The sequence below is a fragment of the Homo sapiens genome, chromosome 6 (genome assembly GCF_000001405.40).
Source record: "Homo sapiens chromosome 6, GRCh38.p14 Primary Assembly".
Taxonomy (NCBI): domain Eukaryota; kingdom Metazoa; phylum Chordata; class Mammalia; order Primates; family Hominidae; genus Homo; species Homo sapiens.
The window spans coordinates 25,835,772-25,860,951 of NC_000006.12; the positions used below are offsets into that span (position 1 = coordinate 25,835,772).

General features: G+C 39.0%; 1 protein-coding gene and 1 long non-coding RNA gene across 3 annotated transcripts in view, besides 1 other annotated feature; one reads left to right on the forward strand and one right to left on the reverse strand.

The window, feature by feature from the left end:
* Nucleotides 1-382: 382 nt before the first annotated feature.
* Nucleotides 383-24,423, forward strand: LOC124901285 (uncharacterized). Its single transcript, XR_007059518.1, has 2 exons — nucleotides 383-761; nucleotides 23,875-24,423. It is a non-coding gene; the product is annotated as an uncharacterized LOC124901285 (long non-coding RNA).
* Nucleotides 7,015-7,074: a silencer, noted in NCBI's record as "silent region_16996". NCBI's record gives its function as "represses an Ori minimal core promoter by ATAC-STARR-seq in GM12878 lymphoblastoid cells {active_cell/tissue: GM12878}" and the evidence as "EXISTENCE:reporter gene assay evidence [ECO:0000049][PMID:35858748]".
* Nucleotides 9,085-25,180, reverse strand: part of SLC17A3 (solute carrier family 17 member 3) — a 29,388-nt gene continuing 13,292 nt past the window's right edge. For both annotated transcript variants that reach the window (NM_006632.4, NM_001098486.2), the window contains 8 exons: nucleotides 19,373-19,459; nucleotides 14,988-15,106; nucleotides 14,688-14,849; nucleotides 14,277-14,406; nucleotides 14,034-14,181; nucleotides 13,603-13,693; nucleotides 9,609-9,745; nucleotides 9,085-9,527 (listed from right to left, as the gene is read on the reverse strand). In NM_006632.4, coding sequence (NP_006623.2) covers nucleotides 9,611-9,745; nucleotides 13,603-13,693; nucleotides 14,034-14,181; nucleotides 14,277-14,406; nucleotides 14,688-14,849; nucleotides 14,988-15,106; nucleotides 19,373-19,459 — 872 coding nt within the window. In that variant the 3' untranslated portion in view covers nucleotides 9,085-9,527; nucleotides 9,609-9,610. The remainder of the gene's footprint in view (nucleotides 9,528-9,608; nucleotides 9,746-13,602; nucleotides 13,694-14,033; nucleotides 14,182-14,276; nucleotides 14,407-14,687; nucleotides 14,850-14,987; nucleotides 15,107-19,372; nucleotides 19,460-25,180) is intronic.

Genomic DNA, 25,180 nt, shown 5'->3' on the forward strand with positions numbered 1-25,180 from the left:
AAGTTAGAGTATTTATATGCCAGTATCCATCAGTGGTTGGCTACAGGGTATCAGGTTTTGAAGGGAAGGCATGGGTTAAAGAAAGACATACACACACACACACACACACACACACACAGAGAGAGAGAGAGAGAGAGAGAGAGAGAGACTGGCTTAACAGCAAATGCTGGCTTTATGTCCAGCATTAGACCTACAGATGTGGGAGACCAGCTTAATGTCAGGGCCCACCGCTGCTTAAAGACTGGGGCAATTTATAGCTCTGGGCAGGAGGGATCTGGCAGGGGCGCGGCCTAATGCCTGGGAAAATGTTGATTACGTGTTCCCAGGATGAGGCCGTTCTAGCCCTTTTTCCGGCTGAATGTGGTGTTCTTTGCACTTTCACACTTTCTCCCAGCAGAATATGATAAGAGGCAGGCTGTTTCTTATGGCCCAAACCCCCATGGAATGTTTCACTTTGACCAAGGTCTGAGAAATGGCGGTGGGGGAGGCTTACAAAGTGGTGTAGTTTGGACTAACATTCTTGCCTTCTACTTTAATATAAAAGGGAAAGGGGTGTTGTTGACTATCTGGTTGCTTCCTGCTGAACAGGGGCTCTGTTATCAGGGTTGGGGTTTTGAAGTAGTGGGTGTCCAACTTCAGAGTTGTTTTCCTGGAGCTGCTGATACCAAACTTGGCAGAGGAGAAGGATGGCATCAATGGGTTTCTGGGTGGTTGCCTGGACAAGGGAGTTCAGCCTTCGGGAGATAAAGCAGGATATGCAGGTGAGTACACATGGGCCAATTGTTAGTATTTGGAGGAGGAAGGTTAGGGGTCCTAAGAAAGCGGTTACCCAAGGCGTATACTTTAGGAGGGATGACCCGTGCTACCAAGAGTTAGTGACTTGATGTTGGATTTCTGCATCCCTGTTACGGAGCCCATGGGCTTCTTCGCGAACAATACCAGATTCATAAACATTAAAAAGCATTCTTCTTGGAGATATACACATGTGCCCCCATTTTCAGTGATTAGCAGGTCTAGGACCCTTTGGTTTTGGAGAATGACTCCCACAAGAGAGTTTATCTGCCTTGGGAGGCTTGCAATGGAAGTATGCATGTCCTCTAAGGTATTATAGAGGACTGTAGAGATTTTTTCAATATAGGGAAGTTGAGGTTGATATACTTGCTATTCCAGTGCCAAGTGCATCTGAGATGCTTAATCCTGTTACCAGAGGAATAAGATGTAGAGCCCGCTTAGTGCGTGTGGAGGAAGATGAAACAGAAGCTACCAAAGGAACCTGGATGGTCTGGTTGTTTAGCAAAATGCTAATGTTTGAAGATTGAAACCAGGGTGTACGTTCTTGACCAAATTGCCGGCAAGCAAAGATAAGAGTTTGTGCCATACAGAAAGAAAAGACCGGGGATTGAGAGGCAAAAGTTGTAAGTGAATGTAGCGAGCTATGAGAAGATAGATAGGGGTTGAATCCCGGACAAACTTTTTGTTCCGACATTTTGTTTCTCCAGGTTGAATAGCTATTAGCAAGGGAAGCCCCTGTGAGGGTCTGATAGGGAATGTTGGTGTGGGAGGATGTGAAGGCTGTTTGGTTTTGGAGAGAGAGAGAGAAATGGGTTTTTGTTAACTAACAGCCATTGTGGCCCTGATGGGGCAGAAGGATATAGATTGCAGTTGAGGGAATTGTGTGTGCATTTTTTTTACCAGGGGGTAACCTTGGGTTGGATACATGAAAAGCTGGGCCAGCACAGAGGGGAGGGATTGATAAGAGGTGTTTTATGGAATCGGGCTTGTAACATGTTTAGTTTAGAGGTTATGAGGTGAAGGATGGTGACGACCCTATGTGTGATGATGTGAGTGGATTTGATAGATTGGAGGGAAAGGTGTTTAGCTGAGAAAGATTATAAACAGATTTCAGGAGTGGATTGGCTGAGTAGGTAAGATGCAGGTTTATTCTGGACCAGGGTTATGTAGTTAGGTTAACAGAAAGGGCAGTGAACTTCTGGATTTGTGTGGACTAACAAATTTAACAGTTGGAAGAAAGACGGGTGTGTGACTGATTTAAGAGGCAATGTGTGAGGTTGACGACGGGGGCCTGACTGCCAGAGGTTGGGTGGGGTGGGGGGAACTTAGAGTACCCCACAGACAAAGAAGACAAAAGGAGAAAAAGGAGATTTGAGAAGGAGTGAATATTTGGAAGGCCCTGCAGCCATAGCTCCTGGATTAATGTGAGAAATTGGAGTTGACTATTCAGGGATCTGGGTAGGGAATACCAGGAAATATCTGAAACAAGATATGAGATAAAAGATTTACAACTGGAGTTGGAGAGTGTTATGGACTAGGGCCTTCTGGATTGGCAACTTCAGGAATTTTTAAGTGCAGTGAGGTTGGTCCTGTGAGGGAGGAAGAATATTTTGGGGGTGAGGAAATTGCTGAATGTGGATCTGGTGCTCTTTTTAGTTTGGAATGGTGTGTCCAGTGTGGAAAAGATGTTAGCTTTGCCTCTGTGGGAGTAGCTAGGATAACCTGGTGAGGGCCCAACCACTTAGGTTGGAGAGGGGCAGAGGAGTCTGCGATACAAACCCAGTCCCCTGGTTGTAAGGACAGGGAAGAGTGTTTTGAGGATGGACTTTCAGGCTGGGGCAAGTAAGTGTTAGCGTACTGTCTTATTAGATGTGTGATATATATTCCCTCTAAAACTTGATGAGGTTTATACCTTTTTTTTTTTTTTGCCAAGTTTTGTGATTCTTTCTTAGTGGTAGGAGTTTCAAGATATAACTTGTTCTTTACCTTGGAGATGATATTCTGGCATATTTGAGACCACTGGATCCCTGAAAACTTCACTTATGTGGCTAGTCCCTGACACTTTGTAGGCTTTCTCTCCCCTCCCTTGGGAGTGTATATATTTTTACATGGCATCCAGAGTCCTTGTTCCTTCTTGCTATTCAGCTCTAGTTAACATAACTGCATGCTTATAGTGAAACAATGTGATGTTGCAGATAATCAAGATCCTTTCAGATTGTGTTGTGAAAGAGGCTGGCAAGTTAACACATTCCTTGACAAAACTGTGAAAGAAGTACTGTTGTCTATCCCAAGTCAATGCAAACTACTTATAATCCTCCTTTCCCATGGCTCTTCCAAAGAACACACTCGCCATACTAATACCTGTATAGGAAGTGACAAAGCCTCTGTTGATGTGTTCCATCTGGCACACCATATGCAATTAAGGCTACCACTGGATCCCATCTGTGGTGGTCCTCTACCATCTGCCACAGTCTATTTATTCTGGGGCCACATTGGTGAGTTGAATGGGAATACAATAGAGATCATTACTCTAGCATCTTCTACATCTTTACAAATGGCATTACTGTCTGCTATTCCACCTGGGCTGTGGTATTGCATCTGAATTACTAATTCAGCAAGAGTGAACTGTTTTTGAGCATTTTCATGTAAGCTTCAATGATATTAAATCCTGAGTCACAGCAATGTGCCCTCATATTAACAAGATCTCCCTTATCTGGACTTACCTTCTGCCCCCAACACTCTGGTCCCATATTCTAGGCATGCTCTCCTTGTCCCTTCCACTTTAGCAGGGCCAGCACTACACTATTTGGACCATCCTAAGCCCTGACCTAGCTATTTGTCAAGTATTCAGGTTTACTATTTGTTAAGGTAATAGAGAACATGAGGATAGAATTTGAATAAGCAAGTATTGTCTTGCAAGGCATCTGTATCAGCTGTGTTTTCTGCATGGGAATCTTCAGGAAACGGGATGCTGCCATCCCGCAGCATGGGGTACTGGGATAAGGATACCAATAAGTTTGAGGGTAAATTTCAGGCCTTGACTTTAGCATGAGACTTCCCAGGACTTGACTTTAGCGTAAAGTCGAGTGTTTGTCTTTGTGTTTTCTGCTACTCTGACAATCAAATCCTGAGTCTGATCTTCAGAACATGTCTGCCCTCTGCTATTGGAGATCAGGATATCTTTAAATGCTGCCAGGGAAATTTTCTGACTTTCACACCATTCTCTGATGTAATTGGCCATCTTGAGTACATCGGTGATCATGACCACCATCAAACAGCCAACTTCAAAGTTGTTCTAATTGCCATTTCCACACATTTCTCAAATGCTAGAGTTATTGACCAAGCCAGTGCCTTCCCTTACACCTGTATCCCATCTTTCATTCCAATGCACAACAGGACAGAGTCAGCAGTTGTAACGCTACAGCAGGCCCGGGTTATCACCAATGCTTTTACAAACATCAAGGGGGGGTCCCTGGGCCGCCTGGCTTGTCAGTGATATAACTCTGGAAGTTATTATAAGAATCTGCATCCTAGGTCTTCTTGTGGAAACAACTGGCTTAGGTCACATTCTTTAGAAGCAGACCCTGAGATGAGGATTCCTGTCAAATGATTCATTAGGATGTATTTCCAGGGAAACCTGACTGAGGAGAGCATAAGTAGATCTGGAAAGGATATAAAGTAAGGTCCAGTTCACTTCTTAGGGGATTTGGGAGATCGTGTGGACCTCGCTTGCCAAGCAGAAGCAAAGGGAGATGGAGCATTTATATCTGTATAGTGATGCTTTGAGTAAGAGCTGTTCCCGGGCAGACACAAATTCCCAGGCACATCCAGGTTGGCAGGCAAAACTGGCTCCTGCAGCCTGAGGGAGCCCTCTAACAGAAAAAACAGGTTCCAGGTGTTGGGAATGAAAACTCATCAGGAGCTGGTATGCAGCAAAATGGTAAAGGGAACTGAGGGGATATTGGTGGAGTATTGAGTGTGTGCTATAATGACTGAATGCAACTATTTTTAAATTTTGATGGGAAAGAGCCTCTAGATTGATTTATTTCTGCACTTCTGCGCATATACTCAACATGTAGTTAATGTGGGCATTGTCTCAGACTGAATCTAAACTGTTTTCATTGCTAATATTCAATAACATCGATACATGCCCGATGTATGGAGAAGTCTAGTAGAGTTGGAGTCACTAGGAACTTCTTCATTAGTGACTAGAGAGTCCCTGGGAATGAGAAAAATCCCTAAGAAACTTACCCAAAGGAATAATGGAGGCAGGCACACGATGTCAGTATTAGCGATCTGGTAACAATGGTTAGGTAAATAGAAAAGAGACGCAATTAATGGAAGAGTAAAAGTGAGTGTAGGTTCAGACTCTAGAATCTCATGGAAGAGAGTGGCTGGTGGGTCAGAACTAAAGGATTGGCTTTACCAAAAACCTCTCCAAGACGTTGCAGACAAAGCAGTTCTGCTTGGAAACTCAGGCAGTGAATTGGAGTGAGATATTTGGAAGATGCCAATGTTTCAATTTCGTTCACCAGATATTCATTAAGTACTGACACTGAGGGCTCAAAGAAGCATGGCTCAGCCTTGGAACATCACAAGTTTCAGCTCATTGACAAGGTTAAAGATCTTTCATTTGCATGGACCATTTCCAAAGTCCTGGTGGGGAAGAGGGCACTAGTGACATGTTCATATAGTCCCATATTTTTGAAAATTTCTAGAAGTAAGCCATTTTAACCACAATTGTTTAAAGTTACTATCTCCATCCTATTGGGTACCATAGTACTATGGAGTTGCTCTTGGCATTTTTTGATATGGTGAAGGGAAGGCTGCAGTGGGAATGCATTTCATTGGACCAAAATTTGGGATACATTTATGTGGTTTGGGTTGATAAGGGGAATTGTTACATTATTGCTAGGTACTTTGGTATAGAAACAGCTTCCTGGAATACTTAAATCATCCACTGTGCCTGTGTAATGGGATATCCAAATAATGGAAAAGAGTAAATCAAGTGAACATATTGGAAATGGTTTTAAACTTCATATTGACTTGACACACAATCTTGACATTACAATGATAACACAAAACTCATAAAAACAGTCCTTCATTAGGATTCCCAGGAATATTTAAACTTCATTGGAGACTGAAGATTTGATAGAAGCAAACTGTGACTGGAGTCACACAAAGATAATTTTTCCCCCCATAAATGTGAATCATTACCCCATCCCTGTCCAAGGTTGGTACTGCCTGGGGAAACAAAGGTTTCACAATGCATGTCATTGTCTTTGAATATCACCTAAAAATTTCCTGTCTTAATAAAATAGCTCACTAATTTTACCTTTAAACAGTTCACTCTCAGTATCATGTGATTATACCTATTTAAAAATTCACACTAAAAATGACTAGATGAAAGACGTGGTACTAGAGGCTTTGTATATGCCTAGAAATGAATTTCTGAACATGAGATCATGGGAAGGGAGATTGGAGTATATGGATAAAAGCAAGAGTACAGAAAAGAATACCAAGCAGAAATCCATCCTAAGTTGGTGCATCTCCGGTCATATGTGTGCTCAAGCAGGGAGGCCAGGTAACTGGATCTTTAATAGAAGAAACTGGTCACTTCTGGACAAACAACCCAAAATGCAGAATTTGAAATGTGATGAAGGTGAGCACATATGAAGAGCAGAAGGGGAAGTGTCCCTTGCCCTTTGTTAGAACAACAAGGAGGTGAGACCCACACTTCGAGAGGAGAACTTTCTCACGATGTTGAGTCAGACCTTGATGGCTGACCCTCAAGTGCCCTCCTTCCTTCAGGATTCTACACTCTGATGGTGAAATACCAACTAATGAAATATCCCTCTCTGCTATATGCCCATCTCCCTTTATCAAATTTTGTGAAAAGATTTCTCTTACTTTCTCTACCCTCTCATTCCCTTTCACTTACCGACAAACTGCGAACTGACCTGTACACTCATCTCTCTGCTAAATGTACCCTGAAAAAGCTACCAAGAATTCCTCATCACAAGGAGGCTAAGTTCCTTTTCTGACCTCATCTACTTGAACTTCTTCACTACACTTGTTATTGCTCATCAGCAGTCTTTCTTAAAAGGCCATGCCCATGAGTCTTCAATGAGAGTTGTACTCTCCTGTTATTTCTCACACTTACACACCTGACTCTTTCATCTCTGTTATGTGTGGGCATTTCTTTTTTTGGCCCTTCTTAGATGTTGGCATTCTGTCTTGGCTTGTGGTTTTCCATCCACAGGCTCTTACTGAGGCATTTGGTCTAAACTCAGGTCTGCGGTACTGAACATTTGCATTTTTCTCCTTTATCTTTTTCTCCATTTCACTCTTATAGTTTCTATAAGTTTCAGATTAGTGATCTGGCCCCTTATTGAGCTTGCTGCTATGGCTTGAATTATGTTCCCCCAAAGGATGTTGAAGTCCTAATACTCAGTATCTGTGAATGTGATTGTATTTGAAAATAGGGTCTTTGCAGATGATCAAGTTAAGATGATGTCATTAGAGTAAACCCTGATGTGATATGACTGATGTCCTTATAAAAACAGAACATTTGGACACAGAGACAGATGTGTACAGAGAAGAGATGATGTGAGGACTCAGGGAGAAGGCCATCTACAAGCCAAAAATTGTCTGAGACTACTAGAAGCTAAAAGAATAAAAAAGGCATAGAACAGATTCTTCCTTATAGCCTTTAAAAGGAACCAACCCTGCCAACACCTCGATTTTGGACTTCTAGAGCTGTAAGACAATAAATTACTTTGTTTGAGCAACTTAGTTGGTGGCACTTTGTTAGAGCAGCCCCAGGAAGCTAATACACATGTCCACATGATTATCCCACTATTACCATTAACTCAACATGTCCCAAAGTCAAATCATGATCTTCCCCGCTGAAAAGGGCTCATCTTGCTACATTCCCTGGCTTAGTTGTTCAGACCACTCTCTATTCAGTCTCTCACATTAGAGACCCAGGACTCCTTGACACTTTTCTTCTCCTGCATCCATCTAGTCAAAAACCATGATCTTCCAGTTCTATCTTATAAACATTTTTCATGTCTCTCTTCTTGTCTTCATCTCAGCTTTTTCTGCCCTCACCACTGCTGAGGTGAGTTCAGTCCTCACTACTGCTGTGTAGGCCACTGCACAGATGGTCATTTAACTAGTCTTCTTGATTCTCAAATTAGGTCAGAGTGTTCTATCTAGAGAGAAAATCTGCCCTTGTCAGTATTGATATGATTCCTATCATACTGCTTGTAGGTTATACCTTGAACTCCCTAACACAGCAAACAAGACCTCCTTACTCTGGCCACTCCCACTTCCCTAAATCCACCTTCTCTCCTTTCCTAACTGATTATGCAGGCAAGTGATTCCCTTCAGAATCCATCCTGCTTCTTACTTTTATTCTTTTGTGCAAGTTGGGCTCCAGTGTAAAATATCTTACCACTTGGTAAGATTTTACCATCACTTGGAATCGGCACTCCTCATCTGGTCTTTCATGATGCCCTACATGTTTCTCTGCTATTGTACCTAAAACAGTGTAGTGCTATCAATTATTGTGTCTTTCCTCCACTTTAGGATGGAGAATGACTGTGCCTCCTTTACTCCAGTGTCCCAAGATTCCAGATTCTGGAACATAACAAGATCTAAGTAATTGTTGTGGTTATTCAAGCTTGGCCCTCTAAATCCTTGCCTTGATTTTTCACTTAGAACTATTGTCTATCACATTGCCTCTATATGAAATGGCTCAATGCCTCTAATCTTTATTCTACATGGTAGAAATTAGAACAGGGGTCAATCCAGACCATAGTCCTGAACTCACCAACACCTACAAATTATCATTTTACAAAAATACAAATTCATTCATATTTGAGCTTTATAAGTAATTGAACCACTGAACTATGTGGATCCCAGAAGAAGAAAAATGACAGACTTACAATGGGTAATTTGTGAGCATTGTTGAAAATGACAATTTACACAGGATTAGGCAGGTGGTAGGGAAACCACAAGGGATTCTGGAGAACCGAACAGCTTGCCAAATAAAGGCAAATAAAAAAGGCTGAAGGGACAAGGAAGAGAGAAGTTATGAGAACATATGGAAAGGGCTGCCTTCCAGGAGCTGTGAACTGTAGAAAGCTCAGCCATCTGCACACCCTAAAAGAGAGACTGTCAGAGATAAACACCGCCTGACTCTACCTATCTCCCTTAAAAATCTAGCAGAAGCCAATGGACAAGGGAGTACAGGATGCAATCCATATGGGTCAGCCTCTTGGAGCCTGAGCAGGATGGAGATAAATGGAGGACATATAGGGAAGAACACATGGACAATACTCAACCCAATAAATAGAAAGTAATATTAATTTTCACAAACAGGAAAAATCATTGCCCTAGTGAGTTTGTCACCCCGGATTAAAGGTTTTAAAACATTGTTTCTTGTATCCAGTAATGGAATCTAACATACTGGGTCCCACACAGCAAGCCCTCTTAATCCATTGTTAATTCTATGAAGATGACAACTGCATTCTTAGTTATCATTTTATTTGAATTTTTATTCATCTTACATTTCTCTCAAAAAAAAGTCTGAATAAAATAATGAACTGATCTCATAATTGAAAAGAGCCACAGGAAAAAAAAAATCTTTTCACTGGTATTTTCATCACGGAAGCCTTCTATTTTATGCAATACGGTGCCTAATGACTTTTCCATCCAAGGTGGGATAACTAAGAAAGGAAAATGATATAGAATTTAAAACTTCAGCTGCTTCTATGGCTATAACCATGCATAAAATCACTATCCTTTACCTTCATAAACGAGTGAGTTTTCTCTCTTTAGCCCATTCTTGGACATCTGCTTCTCCAAATATGAGGTAGAAGAGTAGTCCTAACAGGTTAACGGCAAACAGCAAGAAGAAGACATTCCTCCACCCAAACTCAGGGTCCTGGAGACACAAAACCCCAAGTATATATTACCCCTTTCATATTTTCCTATGAAACATTATATTAATAGTTCAGATGACAACATTCACTGGTGGGTTTCCTTGTAGAAATTCATTTCCTGAAAGTGGCTTGATAGTTAAATGCAAAGGATTTCAAAATACATTCAGTGTTCTTAATAAAGGGTATTTGGGGAACTTTGTGATTAATCTACATAAATGCATTTGTCACTATTTATCCAAGTGCCATACATTTTCTCTTTTGCATGAATCTCGACTATATAAACTATGCTGAGAATCCTTTCAAGATTCTTCTTATGTTGTGCTGGAATTGTGAAAAGATTATGGGCTTTTGAGCTATACATGTTTAAGTTTGAAGAATTCTGATTGTTCATCCTTATTGTGGAAAGACTTATGCTAACAGATTTTCAGCTTGTTAGGGAATGAAAATAATAAAATTCAATTTTCACAACTGATGTGAGAATCAATATCAATAGTTAAATGAGTTTACAGCATATGAAATACCTATGCATACATCACACACTTAATGTTTGCTTTCATTATCCCCTTTTTGGCATGATTATGCAAATGAAAATTTTTAATGTATAATTATTTACAATTTTCTAGAAATTTTGTTTTTTTAAATCAATTAAATTTTAAAAGGAACTATTTTATCACTATTTGAAATAGATAACCAGAATTACTTGCCTTTAATAAAAAACAACCATAATGAATGCAATGAAACCAAAACACTGTTATTCTAGTGAAAAGAAAACAATGTTCATAGCAGCCTTATTGATAATAGCCAAACAACTCAAATGTCCATAAAAGTACAATAGATAATTTGTGATTAGCCACACAATGAGACACTACACAGCAATAGAAAAGAACAAGCTATTATAACTTCCAATGGATGAATCTCAAAAACATGATGGATGAAATAAGCTAGGGTAGGTACTATATGATTCCATTTCTATGAAAGGCAAGAATGGGAAAATATAATCTATGAAAACAGAAGTCAAGGTAATAGTTACAACCAGGAGGGGTACTGAATGGAAAGGAGCACAAAAGAACCATCTGGGTGATGGAAATATTCTTTTCTTTTCTTTTCTTTTTTTGAGACAGAGTCTCACTTTGTCGCCCAGGCTGGAGTACAGTGGCACGATCTCGGCTCACTGCAGCCTCCGCCTCCTGGGTTCAAGCAATTCTCCTGCCTCAGCCTCCCGAGTAGCTGGGACTACAGGTATGCACCACCACATCCGGCTAATTGTTTTGTATTTTTAGTAGAGACGGGGTTTCACCATGTTGGCCAGGATGGTCTTGATCTCCTGACCTCGTGATTGCCTGCCTCGGCCTCCCAAAGTGCTGGGTTTACAAGTGTGAGCCCACCGCACCTGGCCGGAAATATTATTTTCTAAAAACAACTTTTAGGCTTAGAGGCACATGTGCAGTTGTGGTATATAGGTAAACTCATGTAATGGGAGTTTGTTGTACAGATATTTCATCACCCAGGTACTAAGCCTAGTCCCCAATAGTTTTTTTTTTCTGACTCTTTCCCTCCTCCCACCCTTCACTCTCAAGTAAGATCCAGTGTCTGTTGTTCCCCTCCTTGTGTCCATGAATGCTCATCCTTTGTCTTCTACTTATAAGTGAGAACATGTGGTATTTGGTTTTCTGTTCCTGCGTTAGTTTTCTAGGATAATGGCCTCCAGCACCATCCATTTTCCTACAAAAGATATGATCTCATTCTGAATAGTATTTCATGGTGTATATGTACCATATTTCTTTATCCAATCTGTCATTGATGGGCATTTAGGTTGATTCCATGTCTTTTCCATTATGAATAGTGCTGCAGAGAACGTAAGTGTTCATGTGTCTTTATGGTAGAATAATTTACATTCTTTTGGGTATATACCCAGTAATGGAATTGCTGCGTAGAATGGAAGATCTGTTTTTAGCTCTTTGAGGAATCACCACACTGCTTTCCACAACGGTTGAACTAATTTACACTCCCACCAACAGTGTATAAGCGTTCCCTTTTCTCTGTAACCTCTCCAGCATTTGTTATTTTTTGACTTTTTAATAATAGACATTCTGACTGCTGTGAGATGATCTCACTGTGGTTTTGATTTGCATTTCTCTAATGATCAGTGATATTTAGCTTTTTTCATACCTTTGTTGGCTGCATGTATGTTTTCTTTTAAAAATTTTTTATTTTATTTTATTATTATTTTTTAATTTTTTTATTTCCATAGGTTTTTGGGGAACAGGTGATATTTGATTACATGAGTAAGTTCTTTAGTGGTGATATGTGGGATTTTGGTGCACCCATCACCCAATCAGAATACACTGAACCGGATTTGTAGTCTTTTAACCCTTACCCCCTTCCCACACCTTCCCCCTGAGTCCTCAAAGTCCACTGTGTCACTCTTATGCCTTTGCATCATCACAGTTTAGCTCCCACTTGTGAGTGAGAATGTATGATGTTTGGTTTTCCATTCCTGAGTTACTTCACTTAGAATAATAGTCTCCAATCCCATCCAGATTGCTGTGAATGCCATCAATTCATTCCTTTTTATGGCTGAGTGGTATTCCATCATATATATGTATACCACAGTTTCTTTATCCACTCATTGATTAATGGGCATTTGGGTTGGTTGCACATTTTTGCAATTGTGAATTGTGCTGCCATAAACATGTCTGTGCAATTATCTTTTTCGTATAATGACTTCTTTTCTCTGGGTAGAAACCCAGTAGTGGGATGGCTGGATCAAACAGTAGTTCTACTTTTAGTTCTTTAAGGAATATCCACACTGTTTTTCATGCTGGTTGTACTAGTTTACATTCCTACCAATAGTCATCCAGGCCAACAACAATGGCCAACCTTGCAGGAGTAAGGTAATATCGCATTGTGGTTTTGATTTGCATTTCCCTGATCATTAGTGATGCTGAGCATTTTTTCACATGTTTTTTGGACATTTAGTAGGGAAAGGACACCTTATTCAACAAATAGTGCTGGGATAATTGGAAAGCCACATGTAGGAGAATGAAATTGGATTCTCATCTCTCACCTTATACAAAAATCAACTGAAGATAGATCAAGGACTTAAATCTAAGACCTGAAACTATAACAATTCTAGAAGATAACATCAGAAAAACCCTTCTAGACACCGGCTTAGGCAAGGATTTCATGACCAAGAACCCAAAAGCAAATGCAATAAAAACAAAAATAGCTGGGACTTAATTAAACTAAAGAGCTTTTGCACAGCAAAAGAAACAGCAGAATAAACAGACAACCCACAGGCTGGGAGAAAATTTTCACAATCTATACATCTGAGAAAGGACTAATATCCAGAACCTACAATGAACTCAAATAAATTAGCAAGACAAAAATAAACAGTCCCATCAAAAAGTGGGCTAAGGACATGAGAAGACAATTCTCAAAAGAAGAACGTGTATGTCTTCTTTTGAAAAGAATCTGGTCACATTCTTTGCAAACACTTTAAAGGGTTCATTTGTTTTTTGTAAACTTAAGTTCCTTGTAGATGCTGGATACAAATTCAAAGTATTGCCCAAAACATAGCAGGTTGGCATTTATGCATGGAATCATTATCCCAAGACACCTATGCAGCTGTGTGGTTTCAGTTTCAAAGACAGCAATCACTATTTAGTTCTTTGCTTGAGAATGAACCAGGCTTTAGGTCACCAAAGAAATGATTCTATATTTTTCTTTAGCAGGTTCATCTTAATGACAAATTACCCAAAATTTAACTTTATTTTTCAGTCTTTGAATACATGCTATCACCTTTATAAGTGGATTTAGCAGAGCATCTTTGGAGTCCTTCATGACAAAAAAATTGTACCTGACTAAGAAGAAATCCACTGACAGTGGGTACAATGACAGGTGCTATGCTCGAAAATCCTCTTGATGCTCCCATGAGAAAACTGGAATACCTGTGGGTGACAGGAATGTTCCGGTCTAGATCCAGAGATGTTTGACAGTATCCTTCAGCCCTGATCCATGTATGAATCTATAACTCAATTATATTTCACAATTATATATAATTATAATTAGACAATTATATCAAAAAGGACTTGCACTATGTATATTCAATGAGAGGGATGAGGACAAATCAATACCCCTTCCTCAACATACCTGAAAAAAACGGCCACAGGTCTATCTGTGGTTCTTCCCCTATGGTTTATTCATTTCCTAAGTTTGGGGATCCCAGAAAGCTGAAAGCTAAATCTTTTAAAGAAAATGTGAAACTGATAGTGGAGATCAGAGTCCTACCTTGGAGCAATATCTAAGACATTGATATAAATCCCTGACTGACACAATGTGCTTAATCCGCAAGAGAGCGTCAGCAAGGCAGTTGCTGTGATATAGCCGGAATTGAGGTAAGGCAGAGACACAATGAGTGCTGAAGAGGGGAGACTTCCTAGGAAATGAAGAAGAAACCAATTAAACAGTGAGATGCATTCTTTGGCTGTTGTATGCTACGCAAATTATCTGACCCTCAAGCTCTGTTCTTACCTAAAATTGTGGCAATTTTCCTCACAGTGATGAGTCTAAACTTTTTGGTTAGAAGGAAATCTGCCAGATAGCCTCCCACCATGCCTATGACCCAGGCAACAATAAAAGGAAGGGCAGATAGAAGTCCATTCTAAAGAGAAAAGATTGAGTAAATTACCATAATAAAGGCAGTGAGACCACAACTTTTGTTGATAAATTACTACTAATAATAATGACATTCTGAAATCATACTTTCTTAGGAAAATCAGTAACCTCTTAAATCATACCCCAGAAAAGCTACTGGCATGAGTATTAAATATTAGATTATTTTTGGTAATAAGAAATACATTTCTCAGATGGAATGATTAGTGAGGGCAGAGTAATTGGTCAGCCATGCAAGCAGGAGAAAGGAAGGGAAGGAAACATACTCACGTCTCTGATGTTAACATGGTACACAGAGCTGATGTAAGTTGGTATGTATACAACCATTGTGCTAACTAACCATTGATGGCTGAAACAGCCTAAACATATGGACCAAATGGGTAGAGATCTGAGCATAGCTTTGATGGGAAGAGGCTGCTTAGAAGACCCGACCTGAAAACAAATTTACTGGTCATAACGGTAAATCCGACAGATGCTCACACACTTAGTCACCCTTAAAAATCCAGATTTAAGGCCTCAAGAAAATCCAGATACAAGGTCTCAGAAAAGTGTTGGTGTCTTTATATGTACCTGTTGTTTCAAGGAGGATATGATGTATTCTTTTTCTGAGGTGCTTATCCATGGATAGGAAACGGGGTCATCATAAATCACAACAAACCAGAGAAGGCAGCAGACACAGCCAACACCTCCTGTAAGCACAGGGTAAATTTGGTAAATGGGCTGTTTTCTGCTTTTTGGGTGAACTTCTTTTATGTTGGGATATTTTCTGTTATAAGTTCTAGGAAAAGCTCATGTTCATTATATCCCTTTTCCATTTCTGAAACAATTCACCCATTTTACATTTCCTGTTTATTTGTGTGTGTGGAAATTACAGAGCCTAGAAGTGGCACCACACTTGATATCTCAATATTTTTAATATTAGCCATTCTGATAGGTGTGTGGAGATATCTTATGGTTTTTATTTGTATTTCTTAAATAACTAAGGATGAGTTGAGCATCTTTTCATGTGCCTATTTTCCCCCTATCTTTTTTTGATGAAGTGTCTTTGCCCAATTTTTTTTTTTTTTGGTTTTTTATTATTGAGTTTTGAGAATTATTTACACATTCTGAATAAAAATCCTTATTATACATGTGTTTTGCAATTATTTTCTCCTGGGATCAGCATGTCTTTTTATTATCCTAACAATGCCTTTTGATGAGGATATATTTCTAACTTTGATGAAATCCAATTTATCAATTAATTTTATGAATTATGCTTTTGGTGTCATATTTAGGAAATCTTTGTGTAAATAAGAAAGATTAACGCCTATGTTTTCTTCTAGAAGGATAATAATTTCAGGTTTTATATTTAGGTCTGGGATTCATTTTGGTTTAGTTTTTATATATGATCCAAGGTATGGATGGAAGTTCATTTTTTTGCATGTGGATATCCAATTTTTGAGCACCTTCTGTTAAAGAGACTATCCTTTATCTATTGAACCTTTCTCAAATATCAGTTCAGTTTACTTTATATGAAGTAAATAGAATCATGAGTCTATGATTCTATTTTGTTTCATTGATCTATTTGCCAATGTTTATGTCAATACCACTCTGTCTTAAAGACTATAACTTTATAATATGTCTTGACATCAGGTAGTGTTAGTCCTACAACTTTGTAATTTATTTTCAAAGGTGTTTGGCTATTCTAAAATCTTTGCATTTCCATAAAAATTTAGTTTTCAGTGCACAGCCCTCACATATCTTTTGGCAGGTTTATCCCTATGTTGAATATTTTTTATGCTATTGAAAATCGTACTGTTCTCTTTAATTGACATTTCTTATTATTTCAGCTTTTCTACATCTGAAAACATCTCTATTTTGCATTTGTTTTTGAAACTTTTTTTTTTCACTGGGTCTAGAATTCCAGGTTGACAGATTTTGGTTTTTGTTTCTGTTTCGGTTTGTTTTTTTGCACTACTTTAAAGATGTTGTTCCACTGCCTTCTCTCTTGCACTGCTTCTAACAGGAAGGAATGCTGCATTCAGCATTATCTTTGTTCCTCTCTCTATAACACATCTTTTAGCTTTGGCTACTTTAAGATTTTCTCTTTACTTCTGGTTTTGAGCCATTTGATTAGAATGTAACTTGATGTAGTTTTCTTCATGTTTCTTGGGCTTGAGGTTCATTGACTTTTTTGGATCTGTGAATTTATAGTTTTCATCCAATTTGGAAAATTTTTGGCCATTGTTTCTTCAAATATTTTTGAAAAATGTTGTTTTTGTTCTCCCATCCTACTTTTCTGTTTTGGGCACTCCACAACTTACTGATGTTCTCATTTTAATATTATAATTTTCTCTGTGTGGTGGGTTTTGGATGATTTCTATTGTTGTTTTTAAGTTCATTAATCTTTTATTTTATTGTATCTAATCTGTCATTAACTCCATTCAGTGCATTTTTCATCTCAGATACTGTACTTTTCATCTCTATAAGTTTTATTGGGTCTTCTTTATATTTACTATGTCTCCACTTAACTTTCTGAACATACAGACTTATGCTATAATGTAGCTATAGTAACTATTTCAATGCCCTTGTTTACTAATTCTAAAATCTCTGTCAGCTCTGGGTTAGTTTTGATCAATTTATTATTCTCTTCATTATAAGTTGTATTTTTCTCCTTTTCTTCATGTCTGGTAATCTATGGTTGGAGCCAGACATTATGAATTATATCCAGCTGGGTGCCAGATAGTTTTGTATTCCTGTAAATCTTATTAAGCTTTGTTTTGGGATATGATTAAATTATGTGGAAATAGTTTGCCCCTTTTAGGTCTGGCCATCACCATTTGTTAGAGAGATCCACAGCAGTACTCCCTGTAAGACTAATAATTTCTCACTACTGAGGAACAACATTTATGAGTATTCCATCCAGTGACCCATGAATTATGAATTTTTCAGTCTGTCTTATGAAAATGAGTACTATCTCTGATTTTCTGTGAGTGTAGGCACCGTCCTCAGCCTTCACCAATGATTTTCCCCTGCCTACATGAATGAATGAAAAAGTCCTCTTTTTCATTCTTGATATTGGTTATTTTTCTTTCCTTTCTCTCTCTCTCTCTGTTTATCTCTCTTTCTCTCTCTCTCCATCTGGCTAAAGATTTGTCAATGCTATTGATCTTTTCAAATAACCAATTGTAAATTGAACAAAATCTCTTTTTTGGTTTAAATCCATTAATTTCTGCATGTTTTTTTTTTTTTTTTTTTTTTTTTTGGAGACAGAGTCTCGCTCTGTGGCCCAGGTTGGAGTGCAGTGGTGCGATCTTGGCTCACTGCAAGCTCCGCCTCCCGGGTTCACGTGCCATTCTCCCGCCTCAGCCTCCCGAGTAGCTGGGACATTAGGTGCCCGCCACCACGCCTGGCTAATTTTTTTGTATTTTTAGTACAGAAGGAGTTTCACCGTGTTAGCCAGGATGGTCTCGATCTCCTGACTTCATGATCCGCCCACCTCGGCCTCCCAAAGTGCTGGGATTACAGGCGTGAGCCACCGCACCCGGCCTTCTGCATGTATTTTTGTTATTTTCTTCCTTCAGTTTGATTTAGGTTTACTTAAATCATCTTTTTCTAGGTATTTTAAGGCATAAGCTTAGATCATTAATTTGAGAACCATCTTTTCTAATATAAGCATTTAATGTTAAAAGTTTCTCTCTAAGCTTTGTTTTAATTACATCCTACAAAATTTGATATATTGATTTTCATTTTCATTCAATTTGATTAAAAACTTTCCCTCGTGTCTTTTTCTTTAACTCATTGGAAGTATGTTGCTAAGTTTTTAAATATTTAGGGTATTTCCAGAGGCTTTTCTGTCACTCATTTCTAGTTTAATTTTATTATGTTCAAAGAACATATTTTCTATTATTTTCAACTCATTTAAATTTGTTCCATCTTATTTTTGTAGGCCATAAATTGTCTATCCTGGTGAATGTTTGAAGCACACTTGAAAATAAGTACTCTACTGTTGTTGAATAAAATGTACTTAATCTGTGTTCTTATTCTATTGATTATTAAGAGAAGAATATTGAGGCCTCCATCTTTAATTGTGGATTTGTTGATTTCTCCTTACTCTTCTATCAGTTTTTGCTTCATGTATTTTGAAGTTCTGTCATTAGGTGCATATACATTTCAGATTGTTATATCTTCTTGTGAATTGGTAATATTCCTTGTTCTGAAGCCATTCTTATCTGATATTAATATATCCCCCCAGTTTTCTCTTGATTAATGTTTCCATGGTAACTAACATCTTTGTTCCCTGGACTCTGTACAGTCCCAAGAACCAACAGGACTCTATCTCTGCCCTCAAAGAGCTCACTGTCCAGAAGGGGAGTTAAATGTATAAACAAATGAATGCAAACTAATGAAAGGTTTGAAAGTAGAATGTAAAAGCTACTAAAGTGGAAGTTATGGAGGGAGCAGTTCTTTCTCAATTTCTAATAACTAAATGGAAGGCTTTGGGACAAATGCGGAGGTTGGCAAAATTCATCCTCTTGGTGTTTCGTGTTTTCTCCTCTCTAAGAAACTTGAGCCTTACTCAGGATGCCTTGCTCCTGTGCTACTCAGGATGCCTTGCTCCTGTGCTTACTCTGAGACAAAACCCACAGCAGCACCTACCTGTCTGGATTTCTTCCTTCCGTGTCTTACCACTGACCTGCAAGCCTATCCCCTACTGCCTTCAATGGCAGCAGAGTATGACTGATTACCCTGTGATAATAACACAATATGGTGGGTTAATAGCACTTTATAATAGGCAGGAGAACTTCCAAATTTTTTTATGGCATTGACTAATTATTCCCTTAGATTAAGATATTTGGTTTTCTAGGATTTATCTGTCTTGACTCATTTCCTTTGGAAAACTATACACAAAATATACTTACTGAGGAGAATCTTTCTGCATATGAAACTCAGGGAACTGGGAGATAGTAGCTTACCAAAGATATAGAAGACAAAGGGCCACCCAAGGGTTTCACTAATGAAGCCACCTATGAGGATGGCAGTAAAGCATCCCAGTAACATTCCTGCAAAGAGAGAGAAAGTAAGCTGTGGGACTCTAGACTTCTACCTGGAAAACACATACAAATTGATAGATGACATATTATAGAGCAGTAGCTTTAAACCATAAGGAGACGAGCATATTAGAATGCACAAACTTCAAATTTATGATTTAAGAACATATAATTTCATATGTTCTCCTGAGAGCACATTTTTCTGGTAGTTCCCTATAACATAGCAGATGACTGTCATACTTCCTCTCATGTTCTTTTAATTACACAAGTTATATATGCTTATTGTAAAAGTAAACTACTACAAGGAGCCAAAGTTCCCCTCATGTGCCTTCCTAGCCATTCTCACTCGTCTCTGTAAAATTAACCATTAGTAACAATGTGTTATATAATACATAATTGCATACCTTTTCTTTTCTGCACACATAAATAATATATATCTACACATAGTCATCCTCTTGGTAAATGCATTACGTAATATGTAGACAGAAAGCTAGATTTTTCTATAAATGTGCTAATAAATATTTTAACTTTTATAGCTTTTCAGAATGTTCTAACATGGTAGGGCATGTTCGCTTTTTATTACTTTTTCAATCATTTCTAGATGATTGTGTTTTTTATTTTCCAGATGAACATTAATATTAAGTCATCAAATACTATATATGTGTATAGGTATTATCATTTTTAAGTAAACAGGATCATAATGTTTCTATTGTTTTGTGACTTCACTTTTTATTCAACAATTAGTCTTGTAAGCGTTTTTATGTCATTCTAGAGTCTACGCAGTTACTCTGAACATAGACATAATTTATTTCTGCACAATAGAATAGCAGAAGTGGACTTGCTAGGTCAAAGTCTAGATCAAAGGCTACGTGCATTTTAAATTTTGGTAAATACTGACAAAGTACCTTACTAGAAGTGTGTAGTACCAAATTAAATTGCCAAAAATATTGGGTTTTTTTTTCTCATCTCTTTGACAGCATTTAATATCCTCAAAGGTTTTTTCTTGTTGTTGTTTCTTTTTTTGTTGTTTGAGACAGAGTCTTGCTCTGTCACTCAGGCTGGAGATTTATTACAATGGTGCAATCACAGTTTACTGTAATCTCAAACTCCTAGGCTCAAGCAATCCTTCCACATCAACCTCCGAAGAAATGGAATGACAGGTGCATGCCACCACACTTGGCTAACTTAAAAAAATTCTTTATAGAGATGGGAATCTTGCTGTGTTGCCCAGGCTGGCCTTGAACTCCTGGCCTCAAGTGATCCTTCCATCTTGGCCTCCCAAAGCACTGGATTACAGGCATAAGCCACCATGCCCAGCCCCTCAAAGTTTTTAAAAGTTGCCTTTCTGGCCGGGCGCAGTGGCTCATGCTTGTAATCCCAGCACTTTGGAAGGCCGAGGCAGGCGAATCATGAGGTTAGGAGTTCGAGACCAGCTTGGCCAACATGGTGAAATCCTGCCTCTATTAAAAATACAAAAAATTAGCTGGGCGTTCTCAGGGGCACCTGTAATACCAGCTACTGTGGAGGCTGACGCAGGAGAATTGCTTGAACCCAGGAGGCGGAGGTTGCAGTGAGCCGAGATTGCGCCACTGCACTCCAGCCTGGGCGACAGAGTGAGACTCTGTCTCAAAAAAAAAAAAAAAAAAATTACCTTTCCAATATTAATGAAAAAGTGAAAAAGAGAGCTAGGGGTGGTGGCTGATGCCTGTAATCCCAGCACTTTGGGAGGCCGAGGTGGGAAGATCAGTTGAGGCCAGGAATTCAAGTCCAGCCTGGGCAATGAGTAATATCCTGTGTCTACAAAAAACAAAAAGTAAAAAATTATCCAGACATGGTGGTGCCTGACTGTAGTTTCAGCTATTCAGGAATCTGAGGAAGGAGCATCACTAGAGCCTAGGAGTTCAAGGCTGCAGTGAGCTGAGATCATGCCACTGCACTGTAGCCTGGGTGGCGAAGGGAGACCTTATCTCAAAAAAAAAAAAAGTAGAGTAAATAATAAAGAGTATCCCATTTTAATTTCCTTTTTCATAGTAAAGTTGCACGTTTTTCTATCTTTAACTATTATTTTTTATTTCTTTTGTGAACTGTCTGTTCATAATCTTTTTATCTTTGTTTCTTTTGCTTGTTTAATTTTGCCTTAATTTACAGAATCTTTATGTATTGTGAATGATCCTTTGTCTGTATGCTGGCTGCAATTATCCTCCCATCTTTAATTTTTTTAATGTGGTGTTTTGTAATTCAACTGTAAGTTTTTACGGAGCCAGATCTCTCATTCTCCTCTATAATGACCTCTACGTTTACTCTTTTGTTTAGAAGATCTTTTCCTACCACATAACGTCAAAAAAAAAAAAAGAAAAAAAAGTCACTTATTTACTTGTGTTGCCTCATTTAAGCCCTAGTAGTCAGATTTATAATTGAGTAAATAGAGAGAAAAATTAAATAACTTGCCAAAGGTCACATTGTTAATAACAGGGGAAGGTAGTGTTGGAAATGAGACTGCCTGACCCCAGGCCACAGATACATGGAGATGGAAAACAGCATCTTTTTCTACCACTAAGTCCACCAAATTTGCATCTTTTCCTTGAACTCTTTGCCTTTGCTTTGACTATAATGGGGGACAGGTTCCTGCATTGCATCCATCCAAAGCCAGGTCCCTTCTTGTCCTCTGGACCCCATCTCCTCCAATCTATCCCAGGTTTGGACTCCTAAGAGTATGTATTCTCTCTCTGCATCCTCACTTCCCTCCTCAACTCTTGAATGTTTCCCATAATTTCTGAGTACACAAGCATATGTTATTCATGAACTTTTTTTGGAGGGGATGGAGTCTCATTCTGTTACCCAGGCTGGAGTGCAGTGGCATGATCTCGGCTCACTGCAACCTCTGCCTCCTGGGTTCAAGCGATTCTCATGACTCAACCTCCTGAGTAGCTGCAAATATAGCTTCCTGTGGCTCATGATAAAAACAAAACAAAACAAAACAAAACACACCCTTCAGAACCCCCTCCATGCACTTTGACATTTCTCTGCCTCTCTTCAAGGCAAAACTTCCCAAAAGGCTGTGCTAACTGCCTCCATTCTCTTTCTTCTTATTCTTTCCTCAGCCAACTCCCAACACACCTCCATTTTCACTCTCAAAACACTGACACGGTTCTTGTTAAGGTGTTTTGTGACTTCCACCCTGCTGGACTTGTGGCCACTTGCTCAACCCCAGCAGCATGTGGTACAGTTGGCCTCTGACTGACTGTTGTCTTGAGGCAGCTGTCACACACACCTACCTTGTTTTCCCACTGCCTCATGGGAAGCTTCTCAGAACATTTGCTGGCCTGTCATTCTCTTCTGTCTAAGTCCTGAATGCTGGAAGTCCTCACAGCTATTCCCTTGATTTTCTCCTCTTCTCCATCTATGTTCTTTCTCTAGGTGGTCTTGTCCAGGACCAGGGCTTTAAATACCATTTCTATTGAAATACTGAGGAATTTTCAGTATGTCCTGTTTTTTCTCATGTCGCTACCAAATTCCAAATTATAAGCCAATCTCCATTCAGATGCCTAACAGTTCATGGCTAATAGTTGATTTACATTGGCTTATTTAATGCTCAAATACACACACACAAATACATATACATGCATTCACATCTATCATAGGTTGATATCACATGTATTAACCTGTGTGTGAGCTGTATCATATATATGTTCATATCTAAAGTGTATTTGTTTTGTTTTTATGTTTTGGGCTTCATTAAAGTTGTATCATCCTGGATGTCCTTTTCTAAGACACTGTAATGTGTTTGCTGTATTATATGAGAATATTCATTTCTACCTTAGAAAATAAATAAATTCACCTTATAAGACATTAGTCAAATATCATAAGATGTGTTGGGTATTGATTATAACAAAGTCAGTAATTTGAGAGATATGGATAGATGAGATTCATAAACTATGTAAATTAAAGATAAGTAATTTACTAAGAATACCATGTTTATCTTTGAATATAGATATAAAAGGATATGAAGACCAAGAGACAAATAATATTAGTCAGGCAATGATTTTAAACATGAGTCTCTGAACATTCATGGAGGTTTAGAGGCACTCAATCAGGGAAGCACTGAAGTTTGTGAAATTCAAATGTGGCCATCTCTTCCCAACTCTGCGTTCAGTGACTTGACTGAATCTTGAAATCAGCTATGGTGGGAGTGTTTAGAGCACAGAAACTGATAAATACTATAAATGAGCTTATTTTCCCCCCTAAAAAGCCTGTTTAACAACACAGCACTGCTGACTCAATATTTGTCTGGGCCTAATTCAGTACCCACTGGAGATACCCATTCTGTCTCCATGTGCTCAAGAAACACAAAGCCATGGCAGTTAGTTAGTTCTTTAGGGAATGGAGCTGTGGCCAGCAGCACTCATCCTTGTGTTTTTCCCATACAGCAAGTGCATGTCATTGGCCCTGATGCCTTTCCTCTGGACACCCCTGTTTGAACCTCAACTCTGGTTCTCAGAACCACACCATCAGTGGTAAGGCTGGTGCAGCAGAAAGACAGAGAAAGGATGTTTGAACACTTGAACATTCTGCACACTTGATTCAGGTCATGCGATCCTTCTACCTGCTTGTACTCTATCTCACATGGGATAACATACCCCATTTCCACTCCTCCCCCTTACTTTTTACCCTGTGTTTTAAATTGACTGTAACTGTGCAATTACAGCACCTAATGTGGTCTGTGAGCCTATCTGTTCTATGACCTCTGGGATAGCTTGTCTGGTAGTGTACCTTAGGCTACCAAAGTATCAAGGCATTTTCCTCCATGATAGATGTGCTTTATTCATACAACATTTGTGTTTCTAAGATTAATCTATGTTGTTTCATGCAGCTACAGTTTCTTCATTTTCACTGCTGTATGATATTGCATTATTTTTAGATTAAAGGTGTTTGGGTTAATTTTTCTTATCAACTATTAAACCTGCCTTAAATATGAACTACCAGTTCTGTTTGGTCTGCTCAGTCCCTTAAGTTACTAAACTCCTTAAGTGGCTGCAAAGTTTCCTATCTACAATAGGTGCACCTTTCTAGGCTCCCTTAGAAGACAGTACACCGTGTCCTAGAGGCTGGCAATGCTTGAGCCCTTCCACTAAAGGCAGGTGCCTTCTGGGGTAGTCCTATGCCAACCTTATAAGCTGAGCAATTCCATCCACCAGTACAGTCTGCAGAGGAGCCCCAGGATCATCAGAAATGGCAATTTCTATAAGATCTACTGAGGAAAGCAGGCAGGTTCAGCTCACTCCACCTGCCGATGGGATTCTCCAGTGGCTTTCTGTTGGGTGTCTTCAGACAATCATGGGCTCTATGCTCTCTAAACTAGGTTTGGAGGCCAGAAAGGATCACCTGCCTGGAGCCTCTGAAACAGCCCTTCAACACCAAAGATGAGAAAACTTCTGGAACCTGCACCCTTTGTAGGCTACTGAGATTCGTCTAGATACTGTCATTTGACCTATTCTGGTTGTTCAGTCTCTATATACTCAGAAAGGGAGTTGCTACTTTCCATAAGGTCACTGTCTTCAGTCCAAGTCTTTTAACTTTTCTTTCATGCTTTCCATCTCCTGATTTTCTTGTGCTGTATTCTGAGATAATCCCTCAGTGTGATAAACAAAGTGAATTTTCTGATTCCCAGTTCTAAATGGCAGAGACTAATCCTCCAGAATTGTGAGGGCTTTAGAGTGTGCTGTCAGTCAGGGT